The sequence below is a fragment of the Homo sapiens genome, chromosome 10 (genome assembly GCF_000001405.40).
Source record: "Homo sapiens chromosome 10, GRCh38.p14 Primary Assembly".
Lineage (NCBI taxonomy): Eukaryota > Metazoa > Chordata > Mammalia > Primates > Hominidae > Homo > Homo sapiens.
Genome location: NC_000010.11, coordinates 24,207,349 through 24,223,456, shown reverse-complemented (window position 1 = coordinate 24,223,456; position 16,108 = coordinate 24,207,349). Strand labels below are relative to the sequence as shown.

Genomic DNA, 16,108 nt, shown 5'->3' with positions numbered 1-16,108 from the left:
CTGAGAAGGTCCAGGAGGAACAAATGGCATTGCAGAGAGGAAGACAGGAAAGAGGAAATGGGTGGTAGGAGAAAAAGAGTGGAAAAGACAGAAGATGAGATGATGTCTGCAGCAATTTCATAGGCCATGTCTACACCGATCTCTGGTGTTTACAATGCTGGTTGGGGTTTGCTTGCAGAAGGGCAATGACAGTGTTAGGGGCGTTTGAACCAGAGCAACTCCATCTTAAATAGGAGCTAGGTAAAATGAGGCTGAGACCTACTGGGCTGCATTCCCAGACGGTTAAGACATTCTAAGTCACAGGGTGAGATAGGAGGTCATCACAAGATACAGATCATAAAGACCCTACTGATAAAACAGGTCACAGTAAAGACACCAGCCAAAACCTACCAAACCAACATGGCCACAAGAGTGACCTCTGGTGGTCCTCACTGCTACACTCCCACCACTGCCATGACAGTTTACAAATGCCATGGCAACGTCAGGAAATTATCCTATATGGTCTAAAAAGGGGAGGCATGAATAATCCACCCCTTGTTTAGCATATCATCAAGAAATAACCATAAAAATGGGCAACCAGCAGCCCTCAGGGCTGCTCTATGGAGTAGCCATTCTTTTATTTCTTTACTTTGCTAATAAACTTCCTTTTGTCAGCATGGGGGCTCACACCTGTGATCCCAGCACTTTGGGAGGCCGAGGTAGGTGGATCGCCTGAGGTCAGGAGTTCGAGACCAGCCTGGCCAACATGGTAAAACACCGTCTCTACTAAAACTACAAAAATTAGCTGGGTGTGGTGGTGCATACTTGTAATCTCAGCTACTGGGGGGCTGAGGCAAGAGAATTACTTGAACCTGAGAGGTGGAGGTTGAAGTGAGTGGAGGTTGCAGTGAGCCAAGATTGCGCCACTGTACTCCAGCCTGGGCAACAGAGCGAGACTCCATCTCAAAAAACAAAAACAAAAACAAACAAACAAAATTCTTGCTTTCACTTTATGAACTCACCCTGAATTCTTTCTTGTGCGAGACCCAAGAACCCTCTCTTGGGGTCTGGATCAGGACCCCTTTCCTGTTAATAAGAGAATAAAAATGTATACATAGATTCATGCATTAAAAACTCTCTCCTTTTGGATGGTCAGCTTCGAGTACAAAAGAGGCAGAAAGATAGAATGTGACTTGTTCATCCCTCATTATCAGAGAAGGGACAGCTGGCCAGCCATGGCAGAACTAGCAATGTATGTAACAGCAGATCAGAGCTTGAGAACACCAAAATATATTCATTACTCCTTTCAACCTTAATTATAATTAGGCTTCCCTTGTAATTGTTTTAACCAAAGCCACCATTATTACAGCAATAACAATAATTATAACACTACAAATAAGAAGAGTAACAATAATCATTATTTTTGACATGGAAAAATATACCATTTTTGACAGGCCAATTTCTATATTTCTCAGCAAAATTGATACTTTTGTTTTAGAGACGGGGTCTCATTTTGGGGCTTCAGTGATCTTCCCACCTCAGTCTCCTGAGAAGCTGGGACTACAGGTGTGTGCCACCACACCCAGTTAATTTTTTTAAATTTTTTTGTTGAGATGGGGTCTCGCTATGTTACCCAGCTGGTCTCAAGCTCCTGGCCTCAACTGATCCTCTAGCCTTGGCTTCCCAAAGTGTTGGGATTACAGGCATGAACCACTGTGCCCAGAGTCTTTTTAAAATTATCAAAGAATTAATCATTAGCCCATCCTTATAGCAACCAGGATTCTTTTTCTTTTCTCCTCTTCTGGGTTTACTGACTGTTGGAAGTGTGAACAAAAAGCAAACATGAAGTCCATAAAGCACGTTTCACATTTTTAGCCACTCAGATAATGATTCTCTAGAAGAGAAGATTGAATTTAAGGAAGAATATGAGATTGAGAATAAAGTATAGATTTCAATTATTCGGGCTGATGCCAATCTCCATTTCCATGGATAATCAAAGGCTGAGTGAGTTAGACATAATTTTTGCACCTAACTGGGAAGACAGCAGACTTAAAACACTGAGCTTTCCTCCCTTGTGTGGAAATCAATATCATCCTGCCCTCCTTCCCACCCCCACCCGTCACATATATGGTTAAGTGCTTTCTGCTTCCTTCCCTACATTCTCCATACACAAAGGTCAATCTGGTAACTCGCCAGTGAGGTCGGTAGAGGAGGCCTCAAATCTCCTGTGACCCCAAACTTGCTCTATCTGCTAAAAGTAATTGCACACAGCCAAGAAACAAAAACATCCCTAGCCACAGTTGGGTAATGTCTATATGACTGTCAAAATAACCAGAGGAAACAGGTAGGTGAAGACAGAAAGCTAGCACAAAGCAACGCATGCAGAAGGAGCACATCTGTGATTCAAAAGAAAAAAATGCCAGGCACAGTGGTTCATGCCTGTAATTCTAGTACTTTGGGAGACAGAAGCAGGAGGATCACTTGAGGCCAGGAGTTCAAGACCAACCTGGTCAATAGAGAAAGACCCCGTCTCTACTACCAAAAATAAAAAATGAGCCAGGCATGGTGCTGCATGTCTGTAGTCCTAGCTAGTCAGGAGGCTGAGATGAGAGGATCTTGAGTGCAGGATTTCTAGGCTGCAGTGAGCTATGATGGCACTACTGCACTCCAGCCTGGGTAATACAGCAATAACCCATCTCCAAAAAAAAAAAAAAAAAAAAAAAGGCCGGGGTGCAGTGGCTTACGCCTGTAATCCCAGCACTTTGGGAGGCTGAGGTGGGCGGATCACGAGATCAGGAGATCGAGACCATCCTGGGTAACACGATGAAACACCGTCTCTACTAAAAATACAAAAAATTAGCCGGGCATGGTGGCCAGTGCCTGTAGTCCCAGCTACTCAGGAGGCTGAGGCAGGAGAATGGTGTGAACCCGGGAGGCAGAGCTTGCAGTGAACCAAGATCGCACCACTGCACTCTAGCCTGGGCGACAGAGCAAGACTCCATCTCAAAAAAAAAAAAAAAAAAAAAAAAAAGAAGAGCAGAAACAAAACCCTAATGTCAGCTTTTTAAGGAAAAGGAGTTACCACAAGTCTGTATCTGTAAGATCTATTTTACCCTGAAAATACATTTATGTATTTGTGTATTCATTCATTCATTACTTCATTCATTCACAGTGCTAAGCACTCCGTGCTTTCAGGGTACACGGTAGTTGGTGCCATGCTTTCCTCAGTAGATAATACCCCTTCATTCCCTGCACTTTAGATGTGTTTAGATGTGTTTGTGGTTGAACATGGGAACACTCTTTTGGGGAACTGCATACTCTCTAGGCCCTTCCTCTCTGGCCTGGCCTCCTGTTCTCTTGCTGTATTGGCAAAGAAGACTGAGCTTGCAGGCAGAAGTTTTCTACACCCGGCTTCCTCCTCCCAAGGCCCCAAAGAAATCCAGAACAACTAAATAGTATGCACAGTCCACTAAGCTATCCTTTACCTTTTACAAAGAAAGTAAGTTTGCTTTCCTCGATGTTCATTAGAGAGCGAGCTACACAAGGAGAAATGAGAGCATATTCGTACCTGGTCTCTCAGCCTCTCTTGGTGACCCATGATTGCAGAGGCGTGGTGGGGGTACTTCTGCTTCAGATGTTCTAGGAACGCTTCTCTCTTCCGATCCATCTCAGATGTTTGCATTCCCAGTATTTCCTTGGAACTTCGGGGCCCCCCTAGGGTGTGTCTCCTTGGGATATTGCGGGAAGACTTGGAAACTGAACCACGACTGTTTCCATTAGAAAGGCGTTCCTTGGTTCTGCGGCATTCTGCATCTTCTGGTGATGTTACATGCAGATTGCCTTTGCCTTGTTCTGAAAGACAAAAAAATTCGGTTCACAATTAATGATTTCACACTAGAAGTCTCATTTGCAGAACACCAAGAGGGTTTGCGGCAGTTGTTAATGTATGAATGTTAACTTCGCAAATCTTTTTTCTTTTTCTTTCTTTTTCTGCTTTGCAGCAGTCAGGGGAGAAAATCCACAATCAAAGAAATATGAAAAATCGTACTTTAGAAATAAAGATGTTCATTGGGCATGGCGACTCCTGCCTGTAACCCCAGCACTTTGGGAGGCTAAGGCGGGAGGATCGCTTAAGCCCAAGAGTTCGAGACCAGCCTGGGTAACATAGTAGACCCCTATCTCTACAAAAAATTAAAATTAGCCAGGCGTAGTGGTGCACGCCTGTGGTCCCAGCTTCTCGGGAGGCTGAGGCAAGACAACTGCTTGAGTCCAAGAGGTCAAGGCTGCAGTGAGCTATGATCGTGCCACTGCATTCAAGCCTGGGTAGGTGACAGTTGTGAGACCCTGTCTCAAAACACAAAAACAAGAAAACCCTCAAGAACACTTGGTTAGGCTACTTGTGTGCAGGCAATAGGGTTATTCCTTATCCTTGTCTGTAATTATAGAAAGAGTTAACTCCAGTGATTCTGATTATTTCTGTATTTTTAATAACAGTTGCATTCTGGTAACAGGATTCTTATATAAGCTCAGTCGGGTTTCTGAAACATTTGCTTCATCACCAAGAACAAAAATAGCTATCACCCTGTACGTAAGTAATCATTGACACATGTGAACCATTTGAAAATTTTATTTTCTCATATTGGCATAAACCAAGCAAGCATAAGAATACCATCAGAAGTAACAATCGAGGGCCAGGCGCCGTGGCTCATGCCTGTAATCCCAGCACTTTGGGAGGCCGAGGCGGGTGAATCACGAGGTCAGGAGATCGAGACCATCCTGGCTAACACAGTGAAACCCCGTTTCTACTGAAAATACAAAAAAATTAGCTGGGCATGGTGGTGGGCACCTGTAGTCCCAGCTACTCGGGAGGCTGAGGCAGGAGAATGGCGTGAACCTGGGAGGCGGAGCTTGCAGTGAGCCGAGATCACGCCACTGCACTCCAGCCTGGGAGACAGAGCAAGACTCCGTCTCAAAAGAAAAAAAAAAAAAGTAACAATCGAGGAGTTATAAAGTAAAGGCTTAGACAAATTTTACTTGAGGTGGACTTTACCTAAAACACAGTGAAAAGGAAGAGCAATGGTACATCCTGATAGCCTGGACCTAAGACATCCTGCCTTCTGAGCTGGCTTTGAAGGGACAAGTTGGTTTCTGCTAAGAACAGATCAACCAAGTCATATGATGTCAATGCTGAGAGTGGGGAGCATGTAAAGGGAATCTCCATTCATCCTCGATGGTTGGGAGATGGGGTGTCAGGTATGAATATTCCAGCTAGCTCAGAAAAAAGAGTTACTTTTTTAAAAAAAACAAATAGATTAGGGAGAAAAAGTAAAACATTCAGAAGCACTTCAGGAGTTAGACAGGCTCTCTTCATGAAGTCAGGCTCTTCACGAAGAACAGTTCTTATCATAAAGTATTGCTGATATAGGCAGAATAATGTTTCCTTGTCCACTGAATTCCCTGGAAAAAGTACTAGGCTGGATCTCAGGAATCTTGGCTTTAATCCGACATTTAGAACAAATGATGTGACCTCTCTCAGTGTCATTCTCTTCATGAATAAAATGAAGACGACTGAACTAACATTAGGTATGCAAAGAGCCTTCTACCTCTAAATCTTTTAAAACTATTCTAATTTTTTTAAAAATAAGTTTCCAATAGAAGCATATTTGCCAATTATTTATCTTTACAAGTTAAGTGCAGAAAAATACAGATTTAATATTTGGGAGTTCTGCTCAGTTGAATCCCAGATAAACAGAGAACCAATCCTTCACACTAGTTTTGCAAAGCAACAGGTGTTAAGAGTCTAGGCATAAACCAGTTTCCTGAAAGCAATGTGACCACCACTCTTTCCCTTGTCTTTGCCTAGAAAGATCTGTATATAGAACTCTAGGTATAGATGCCCGTTGGTTGGGCAGAGAAAATATTTTCATCTCAGGCTGGTTTTCCTGTTCCAGTCTTCTAACCCTTGATGTGTGTTCTGGGAATAATTCTTCTTGTTTACCCTTCAATTCTCATTACATTGCTAATTATAGCATCTCCATCAGACACTGATGGGGAAGGGAAGGAAAAGCACAGCCAAATTAGTCAATTCTTCTACTTTTCATTAGTTTCAGCAGTAAGTTTACAAGGAGAAGAAGATGGAACTATTGGTTTAAAAGATATTGGGGGCTAAACTGTCATTTCATTTATTTAGGTTGCGCTTCCAACACTTAGACTCACATCATGGCTACCTTTAAAATGATCTCTTCCTTAATAACAGAGAAATAACAGGATCTACTGAACAAAGCTAGATGCCAAAAATGCTGTCTCTCAGGTTGATAAATACCTGTGCAATCTGAAGAGGTTTAGCTTTATCTTTTGAGTGCTGTGCATGTGTTTCATATCAGCCAAAATTGTTGTATACTTGATCTAACACTCTTGCCTTTTTTTTTTTTTTTTTTTTTTTTTTTGAGACAAGGTCTTGCTCTGTCACCCAGGCTGGAATGCAGTAGCATGATCATGGCTCACTGCAGCCTTTACCTCCTGGGCATAAGCAATCTTCTTGCCTCAGCCTCCTGACTAGCTGGGACCGCAGATGTGTGCCACCACATCTGGCTATTTATTTTTATTTTTATGTATTTTATTTTATTTTTTACCTTTTTTTTTTTTTTTTTGGACACAGAGTCTCACTCCATCACTCAGGCTGGAGTGCAGTGGTGCGATCTCAGCTCACTGCAACCTCTACCTCCCGAGTTCGAGCAATTCTTGTACCTCAGCCTCCCGAGTAGCTGAGATTACAGCCGTGCGCAACCATGCCCGGCTAATTTTTGTATTTCTAATAGAGATGGGGTTTCACCATGTTGGCCAGGCTGGTCTCGAACCCCTGACCTCAAGTGATCTGCCCACCTCAGCCTCCCAAAGTGCCGGGATTACAAGTATGAGCCATCACACCCAGCAATGCTATTGACTTTTAAGTGGAATTGGAAGATTAGTTTTGACATTATTAAGAAAATATATTTTAAGTTATCCAGGACAGCTAGATGAATTAACAGGATTGAGCCTCTGGAAAGGTGATTTCTTATGCAGGCATACACACATCTGTCTACATACACACATACAGCCATACAGATAAACATCCATGCATGTCCAACGGCAATAACGGCAGAAAGTCGCATCCTGCCTTACTATGCTGCACAGGCTCATATGATCTATTCTGTTTCATCCAAAGAGCATCAAGAGAGTTCAAGACAGCCGGGACAATAAACCCTCTTTCTTCTTTGAAATGAGTTGGGAAGGGAGATGGAAGGGGAGAGTTTTGGGGGTCAGAGCCAATCTTCAGTCCACATTAATCTTTGAGCAGCCCTGACTTACTGGACTAGACTCATCAGACCCCTGTTTTTTTCCTAGCACTTTTCACCTCATGTTGCTTTTCTGTTTTTTCTCTTTCTTGTGGATTTTTCCAAAATATCTCCAGTTGCTTAACAAGGATTGATGCGATTTAGAGGAAAGGTACAAAAAGCATCAACCACTAGCAAGGCTAGAAGGCTCAATGCAGCCACTTGGCAAACATCGGATTGCCTTTGGAGCTCACTCCTTCCTTTTGTCTCAATTTCCTGCCTTGTGCCTTCCACCCAATGCCCAATGCTCTATCATCCTGTCTGCCTCCCCTCCTACCTCGAGGCACCTGCTCTCCTGTCACCAGCACTCAGAGCCACCTAACGCCACTTTCCACACAAAGGCACTTCAGCACATCTGTCACTTGAGCCTTTTCCTCGACAAGGCTCAGCTCTTGGAAGCGTCAAGCCCCACACCTGGGGGAGAAGCAACAACTCTGCCATTCCAGCCATTTAAGGAGAATGTGGTCTTTTCAGTGGAGAAAAACTAAGAATGATTACAAACTAGAGAGGGATCAGGCAGAGGACATTTAGTCACAATTCCACAGCCATGTTGTCAGAGATCTGAGCCTGGCCAACTCCTCATTATCCACATGAATAGAGAAAAGCTCAAGTGTGGATTATCCAAGTCATCAAAACAGAAATACAATTCGATTTCTTGTTTGGAATGCGCTTTGGTGTTAACATTTAAATATGGGTGTGTCTAGCTGTTCGCTATTCTGGGAATCCTTGTCAAACAAAATAATGAAGCTGTAGCATGAAGGCAAGGCTTGGGCTTGCTGAAAGGCAGTCCTGTTTCCCTTTCCTGCCCCTCCCAGCCTCTGCAGAGCCCAGGGCAACTCCTCCTGGGAGCTCACTTCAAGCAGGGCAAAGAGCAACATAGGAGCTTAAAGCCGAGCAAAATCCCTGGAACATTCCCTGGAGAAGTGAGGACAAGGCAGGCAGAAATGCTAAAGGGACACTCTTCAGGAATCCAAGGAGCTCCCAGGCTAGGATTTGGCATTCTGGAAAGAAAGCATAGAAAGTAGGGGCTGGGGCAGACACCAAACACGCAGAGGCTCATGGAAGATGGGGCCTCCTCAAGGAGAAAGCCGCACTGCAAGTCCGGCAGGCAGGCAACTGCAGGCGCTGCCAAGGCCAGCTTCTTTGCCACAACTCGGGTTACTCTGGCTGGGTCAGCTGACCTGCAGCAAGGGATTTGGGGCCTTGCACCACTCAGGCATTCCACACCTGCTCCAGAGCCAGCAACAGTGCTGATGGCTTCCCTGAGATCCTATTCCTGGGTCAAGATTAGGTAGGCCACAGACTCTTAGGGAAGGCATCCCTCACTTCTTTCTAGTGGCTTCTGGTTAGCTGTCTCCTTCTCAATTGTGCTGAGAAGCTCTCTTGTCATAGGGAGCATCATAGGGAGTTGCTGTTTGGTCTGGTTGTACAACCTCTCTGGGTGTACCGTGGCAGAGACAGCCCTATGTGTTCGACCAGAACGCTCTTCTGCTGCACACAGAGGAAGACCACATTTTCCAGCCATCTCCATCTCACTGGGTCCTTGTACTAATTCCAGTCAATGTATTGTGGGCAGAAGCCATGTGGGCCACCTTTTGTTGGGGCCCCTAGACCTCCCAAATAACCTTCCACGTTCTCTCTCTCTTTACTCTTTGGCCAGTTGAATACAAAGGATCCAGCAGAACCCTCCAACGCCGTGGGGGATGCCATAGTGACAAGGCAGGAGGAGCCTCATCGGCCACCCAGGAAATCCACCTGGCCACAGAAATCACACTGTGCTGTGTCTGAGTGAACAATTAACCTTAATCATGCAAAGCCACCAAGATTAGAGGGTGGTTACAACAATTAGCCTATCTGATTAATACACATAATCGGTTAGCAGGCCGCAGAATCCTACAGCATCCCTCAGTTTTCAAGCTCCCTTGTTTTTTTTCTTTGTTTGTTTTTAGAAACAGGGTCTTGCTCTGTCACCTAGGTTGGAATGCAGTCATGCAATCATGGCTCACTGCAGCCTCAAACTCCTGGGCTCAAGTGATCCTCCTGCCTCAGAATCTGGAGTGGCTGGGACTACAGGTGCATAGTCACCATGCATGGCTACTTTAAAAACATTTTTTTTTGTAGAGATGGGGTCTCACTATGTTGCCCAGGGTGGTCTAGAACTCCTGGCCTCAAGTGATCCTCCTGCCTCAGCATCCCAAAGTGATGGGGTTAGCTCCCTTGTTACTATCATAATATATATACAAATCAGCACAGAAATTACAGCTGAAACCAGGTCATTATATTCCTCTATAGTACCTTAAAATTTTACCAGTGATGAAGAGGATTTCTGGTATAGATCTTAGACAAAATAGAGACAGGAGCTCCTCTTCCCAGAAAAGCATTCTGTGTCAAGCACTGATTGATTCATTCATTCATTCATACAAATATTTATTGACTGCCTGCTCCCACACTGAAAGGAGTTAGGAGATACAGTGTGAAGTAGATCAAGTCAGACTTAATGCCCTCATAGAGGAGTCCACATTTGAAATAGGCCAACCACAAACAAATCATATAGACTCTAAATGTCATGTAACGGTAAGTGCTTTGAAGAATGAAACGGGATAAGGGTACAGAGACTGAGGGGGCTGTTTTAGAGGAGGCTTCTGCATATCTGATTCCCCAGGCTTGCACTCGATGGGAGGCTGCCAATCAGACAGTGGGGAAGGCAAGCAGGTGGGCTAATAGCACTTCACTTGCATAGAGGTTTCAAGACCTTAGGAACCAGAGCAAAAGCACACACGTCAGGACTGCTGTGGACAGAGTCATCCCAAGGAATGCCTATGCCCCAGGGTCACAATGTAGAGCCCATGGGCTTCAAAGAGAATATGATACAGTTAGATTCATGTTCCACCAATAATTGTTGAGTGCCTACTCCGCAAAGCACACTATGCGCTACACTTCCCCATTGTTATTTACCTGGTAGCCGGGCTATTCAGCCATGGAAGCTTCATTGATTAGAGCTATTCTTAGGGTGATCATATACCCCAGTTTGCCAAAACAGCTCTGGGTTACAACTGTTGTCCCAGTAAAATTATTTGAGTGTTCCCTTTCACTTTCAAAAGGATCTCATTTGGACAGTAAGTTACATGATCACCCTAGGGATCCTTATCTATAGCAGGATAATAAACTCAAAGTCCCAAAGTGGTAAAATTAGCCTTTCATTCAACAAATGATTATTGAGTGCCTTCTACAGTGCCCAGTGAGTGCTCTGTTAGGTTGCCCAGTGCTCTGTTAGGTGCTGGAAATGCAAACGTGAATAAATAAAACATGGTCCTTGCTGTGGAATATCACATTGTCATTGGGTAAAACAGATACACAGGCAGACACAAGAGAGAATGCAATGATAGAAATGAACGTTATGGGTGATGTTAGCATCAGAGATGTTGCTCTCCCTTGCGGCACTCGTGCTCACCGGGAGAACTAAAAATGAAGCCATGCTTCTCTACAGCATCATATTCACCCAGAACTGAACAGGATTTTAAAAATCTAATTTGGATTTTTATTCCACTTTTGCTATTTTTTCCAGCCCTTCCTTCCAATCTCCCTGACCTCTAGATGCTGGACTGCCTCGGGGGGCATCCTTTGGACTTTTTCTTCTGCACACAGATTCAATCTTAGGGGATCTCTCAGTTCTCAGTCTTCCTTCAGCTCTAGTGATTAATATCCAAATTGTAGTCAACATCTCCACTTGGATACCTGATAAACTTCTCAATCCTAATCTATCAAAAGATTGCTCCTCAGAACCTCAAACCATAAACACCCTCTCATCTGTTCTTCGTAAATACTCCCCAACTTAGGCAAATGGCAACTCCGTTCTCCCAGCAGCTTACACCAAAATTTTGGAAGTTGTCTCTGACTCCTCTTTTTCTCTTACATCCCAAGTTGAATCCTTTAGCAATTGCTTTTGTCTTGTCTTGTTTGTCTTTTCTTTTTTCCTCTCCTCTCCTCCCCTCCTCTCTCTTCTTTTTTTTTCTTTTTTCTTTTTCCTTCCTTCTCTTTCTCTCTGTCTTTCTCTCTCTCTTTCTTTCAGAATCTTACACTGTTACCCAGGCTAGAGTGCAGTGGTGTAATCATGGCTAACTGCAGTCTCAACCTCCTGGCTGAAGTGATCCTCCTGCCTCAGCCTCCCAAGTAGCTGGGACTACAGGGCACTATGCCTAGCTAAATTTTTTTTTCTAGAGATGGGGTCTCACTATGCTGCCCAGGCTACAGGAAATGCTTTGGGCATTACCTTCAATATACACCTAGAATCTGCTGGCTTATCACCGCCTGCTAATCACCGCCTGGTCCAAGCTAGCCCTGGTTCTTGCCTCCTTGACTGCAGAAGCTTCCTAAAGGCCTCCCTGCCCTTCCCTCAACCCTACTTGGATTGTGCTCAATACAGCACCCAGTATTACCCCATTTAAAAAGACAAATCCCTTTGTAACTCACCTGGGCAACATAGCAAGACCCCTTCTCTAAAATAAAATAAAATACAATACAATACAATACAATACAATACAATACAATACAATACAATACAATACAATACAACCATGCATGGTGGCATGTCCCAGTAGTCCCAGCTATTTGGAAGCTAAGGCCAGAGGATTGCTTGAGCCCAAGAGTTCAAGGCTGCAGTGAGCTATGATCACACCACTGCACTCCAGTCTGGGTGACAAATGAGACCCTCTCTAAAAAAAAAAAAAAAAAAAAAAAAAAAAAGTAGTCCCACCTGCCAGGAGATTCCCACCTCTTTCAAAATAAAAGCTCTAGTCCTTACAATGGTTTCATGGGCCCTAGGTGATCTGGCCTGGGATTACCTCTCAATCTCTTTTCCTCCCATCCTTCTCCCATGTTCTTGCTGTTCTTTGAAAACATTACATCCCTGCTGTTACCTCTCCTGTCTTTGTTCAAATATCACTTCAGCGAAGCTCTTTCTAATAATCCTATTTACAGTTTCACTCCTTATTCCTTTTCCTGCTTTATTTTTCTCTGTAACCTTATTTCCATCAAATAGGGTTGCCAGATAAGATACAGGACTGCTCAGTTAAATGTGCACTTTACATAAATAATGGAGAAGTATTTTTAACATAAGTATATCCCAAATATGGCATGGGATATACTTATACTAAAAAAAAAAAAATTCACCGTTTACCTGAAATTCAAATTTAGCTGGGCCTCCTGTATTTTTATTTGCTAAATCCAGCAGCCGTGCCATCTAACATGCTATATATTTTATTTATTTGTTCATTGTCTGTCTCTACCAGCTCCCCACCCCCTGAAACTTGGTCCTTACACTGGAAGTTAAATGAAGGCAAGTATTTTTAGTCTGCTTTGTTCACCACTGGATGTCTGGCAGCTAAAACAGTGACGTCTACATAACAGATGCTCAATATTCACTGAATGAATGAATTAGTGAGCAAAGGAGCACACTGTCTCAGGCTGACCATCCTAGCCTCTGAAGCCTCTGAATTGCCCTGATTGTTGGAAAGTCATTTCTTAAATGGATCCCTTTCTAATGGCCCCTCTAGAATCTGAGTCATCTCTTTCAGGACAGGCCCAGAGGTTGAATTCCTGAAGTAGGATCCTGTCCTAGAAAATGGGGGTGGGGGGTTGCGGGGGTCAGGGGGACGAGGTAGCCTTATCTTCCACTGGATGCCACTGACCCCGGTAGCCTGAAGGAGAGTGCTGTGCTTTGGCAGCACGAAGGCAGACACTTCGACAGATGACTGTTCAGACTCAGGGATTCTCCAGCCATTACAAAACTTCAAGTTTTCTGCATTTCACTGGGGGATTTCTATCTCTTGTCATTGTAAGTTCTCCTGACTGGCTTAGCTTTGCATTTTCAGCGTGGATGAGTCATGTGTTACTTCCCTTTCACATTTTCATAAAACACACACCTTTTCCCCTGTGCATAATCCCTACTCCCACGCACAGCACTGCACTCCCGCACGTCTTTTTGTTGTGTACTGGCCCCTGCATGAACCTGAGGGAGGGTGGGGCGGGTGGTCCAGGGCTGTGTGGTTTATGAACATGCTGCCTATAGGATCCCACAGAATCAGCTCTTGGCATCACAGGCATCAGATGCCAGAGAGCAGGGACCTCCTCTGGCCACCCAACCCGGTGCGAAATTTCTTTGGAACAACATAAGCTTCTGGAAATTCCCTACGGAAAAGACAAGTCTATTATAAACACAATTAAAGGGAAACTGCCTGGAGAAAATTTACCAAAATTGTCCAACAACTCCCAAGTTTTGAATTAAAACATAAAAGAAGATCCAGAGTTCTATCTATCACCCAGATGCTCAAGCCCTCCCCTGCTGCTCGGATCTGTAAAATAAAACATGCCTGGTTTCTGTGATTTAACTCTAAAATTCTGCACAAACTTTGCAGCCAGCATGCATCTGCCACATGGAATCCCCCAACCAATGAATGGAAGCTGCGGTCCTAGAGACAGTTTCACAAAAACAGCTCCTTTCTCCCGTGGCTGGAGCCCCGGGGGGAAATGATTAAAAGCTGCTTAGTGATTTATTTGTCATTGCTTAGAGATACAGCTCATGCTGATGGCTCACTGCACTACAAATGTGACATCACCCCACCACCTCTTTTGCTGCTTAAGAAAATCGTGCCAGAGATAAAGTCAAGCCTAAGAAATCACAGTTCTCTATGCTCTACTCAGTTTGGAAAATGTACCATCCCAAGAAATTGCCTTTTTTTTTTTTTTCCTTTGCCGGGTCCCAGAGCTGCAGTTTATAAAAAGCAGCAAGCGGCAAGGGGCACGCGTCCCTGTAACTCCATCTTTGAATGGGTCTGTTACTTACCCTGCATCTGTCTTCTGTCTGCTGAGTAAGGAAGGCACGGCTCACATTTCTGGCTTTCATTTTCTTCCATTGTCTCTGCCTGCCGCAAAAGCTCCTCGCTCTCTGGAAACTTCAGAGCGCAGTTCTAAAAGCTCCCAGAAAGCGCCTGGGAGGGGGCCCGGGGCTGGGGAGGAGGGGACGGTGCGAAACCCCACCCCAAACTATTTTCCACTCCGGTGCAAAGTCTCCCTCGCCCGAGAAAACTGCATTCCAGCGCGGGGCCTCTTGGATCTCCCCTGCCCCTGGCCCTCCGTCCCTAGGTCTGTCCGTCCGTCCGTCCGTCCGTCCTCAGGCGCGCTCTCCGGGGACTGGGGGCTGGGCTCTGCCAGGGCAGGGCGATGCGGGGGTGTGGGGGGGAGGCCTCAACAGGTGACGGCCTCTCCTACCCACAACTGGGCCTGCCTGGTTCCACTGCTGCAAACCACCGAGGCTCTGCAGCCGAGGAAGGAAAACATTTCACACATGATTAAGGCCGAGAGCCTTCGCTGGGAGCCAGTGCCCTCATCTCTTTAATCTCAGAGGCAGAGTGAGCCTCCCAAATCGGGTGATCCACATATTAAAAAACAGCAACCTGTTGAACCTCCCAAATTTCAGTGAACTCCCTTAAAAAAAAATCCCAAACAATTTGAAAGAAAGAGTATATGCTGAGTGTTGTAAGTAAGCACTTTCCGGCACTAACTTTTTAGGGCCCGATTAACATCTATGAAGAGGTATAGCGTCATTTGCACACAGTCGATTTCAATCACTTAATCTGGACTTTTTAAAAAAAAGTTTCTACGTACTTGCTCACTTTCTCAGACTCCTCCCTCCCCCAACACACTTACACACACACACACACACACACACACACCCAGCCCTTAATCACAAATCTGAAAGGTAAACTAGTAAAGTCAATCTTCTGAAGCTCTCCCAGTTAACGACTCCAAAAATCTGAAAGACAGTGAAAATGCATTTCTTTGGACAGGCAGAGTTACAACCAACATACTTCTCCTTTTAAACCACCTACAAATATTTATTTTGTTCTTTACCCAGTCCTTGAAAAACTGGCAGAGTTCCCAGAGAGTGAAAATAGGAGGCATGATGTCCGAAAAAAAAAAAAAAAAGAGGATGGGAAAATAATTTAGGCAACATTAGCTCTGCGATGTCAGATATCTCAGAGTAACACAGTAGCTAGGAGGAAGAGCGCGATTTTGTAACCTGTAGTAGCCCCGTCACAGGAGGGGTAAAAAAGGACAATGGTTAGTCTGGTGACCATACTTTGCCCCAGTTTACAGGGCATTCCAGCAAGGTTTGAGATTGATTTAGATCAAGAATGTGTGCTGAACAATGGCCAGCCTATGTTCCAGATTGTGACCTCGAGTGACCTGTGTGTTTTGGCAGTGGGGGTGACGTATTTTGGCCATTTAAGACATAAGGATGTGGAAGCACCTAACAGACAAAGGATGTAGGCCAAAAGGAAAGGAGACATACCAGGAAGTGAGTTACACTCACGTCAGGAGGGGAAGAAGAGAGCCCCTCAATTCTTAACGGGATTTTTCTTGAAATCCAAGAAGACGCGGTGAATCTTTCAAAAAATTAAAGCAGTGCCTCGGCAGCCTGAATAGAGGCAGTGGGATTTGCAGGGCAGATAACTTAAGGTCTCTATGACTTTGCAACAGAATTACCTGGCAATCTTGCTTTAAGGAGGAACTAATCTTACACAGTTTCTGTCCTGGTGGCCCCTGGGCAAAGGCCAGATGAATCTAGTTTTAACCTTATTATTTCCTTAGGTGCAAAATGTTCATGAAGGAGGGCCCTGCTGTGTTCAGCCTTTCAGGTCCAGATCATCCTGATTCTTGTATACTGTTGTGTATTTGTCTTTAAAGTATTAATGCTA

At 44.5% G+C, this 16,108-nt stretch overlaps 1 protein-coding gene across 21 annotated transcripts in view, besides 5 other annotated features; it reads right to left on the bottom strand.

The window, feature by feature from the left end:
- Window positions 1-16,108, bottom strand: part of KIAA1217 — an 853,117-nt gene that overhangs the window by 324,387 nt on the left and 512,622 nt on the right. For 20 of the 21 annotated variants that reach the window (NM_019590.5, XM_047425513.1, XM_047425497.1 and 17 more), the window contains exons 1-2: window positions 14,194-14,319; window positions 3,548-3,831 (exon numbers count right to left, since the gene is read on the bottom strand). In NM_019590.5, coding sequence (NP_062536.2) covers window positions 3,548-3,831; window positions 14,194-14,263 — 354 coding nt within the window. In that variant the 5' untranslated portion in view covers window positions 14,264-14,319. Of the gene's footprint in view, window positions 1-3,547; window positions 3,832-14,193; window positions 14,320-16,108 lie in introns of those variants that run through there. The other variant, NM_001098500.3, reaches the window with a different exon arrangement.
- Window positions 58-786: an enhancer, noted in NCBI's record as "NANOG-H3K27ac hESC enhancer chr10:24511600-24512328 (GRCh37/hg19 assembly coordinates)". NCBI's record gives its function as "activates a minimal SCP1, AML or CMV promoter by ChIP-STARR-seq in primed H9 embryonic stem cells {active_cell/tissue: H9 hESC(primed)}" and the evidence as "EXISTENCE:reporter gene assay evidence [ECO:0000049][PMID:30033119]".
- Window positions 8,460-9,048: an enhancer, noted in NCBI's record as "H3K27ac-H3K4me1 hESC enhancer chr10:24503338-24503926 (GRCh37/hg19 assembly coordinates)". NCBI's record gives its function as "activates a minimal SCP1, AML or CMV promoter by ChIP-STARR-seq in primed H9 embryonic stem cells {active_cell/tissue: H9 hESC(primed)}" and the evidence as "EXISTENCE:reporter gene assay evidence [ECO:0000049][PMID:30033119]".
- Window positions 12,934-14,133: an enhancer, noted in NCBI's record as "CDK7 strongly-dependent group 2 enhancer chr10:24498253-24499452 (GRCh37/hg19 assembly coordinates)". NCBI's record gives its function as "activates an origin of replication core promoter dependent on BRD2, BRD4, P300/CBP, MED14 and CDK7 cofactors, with strong dependence on CDK7, by STARR-seq in HCT116 cells {active_cell/tissue: HCT116}" and the evidence as "EXISTENCE:reporter gene assay evidence [ECO:0000049][PMID:35650434]".
- Window positions 13,501-13,560: an enhancer, noted in NCBI's record as "active region_3153". NCBI's record gives its function as "activates an Ori minimal core promoter by ATAC-STARR-seq in GM12878 lymphoblastoid cells {active_cell/tissue: GM12878}" and the evidence as "EXISTENCE:reporter gene assay evidence [ECO:0000049][PMID:35858748]".
- Window positions 13,851-13,900: a silencer, noted in NCBI's record as "silent region_2221". NCBI's record gives its function as "represses an Ori minimal core promoter by ATAC-STARR-seq in GM12878 lymphoblastoid cells {active_cell/tissue: GM12878}" and the evidence as "EXISTENCE:reporter gene assay evidence [ECO:0000049][PMID:35858748]".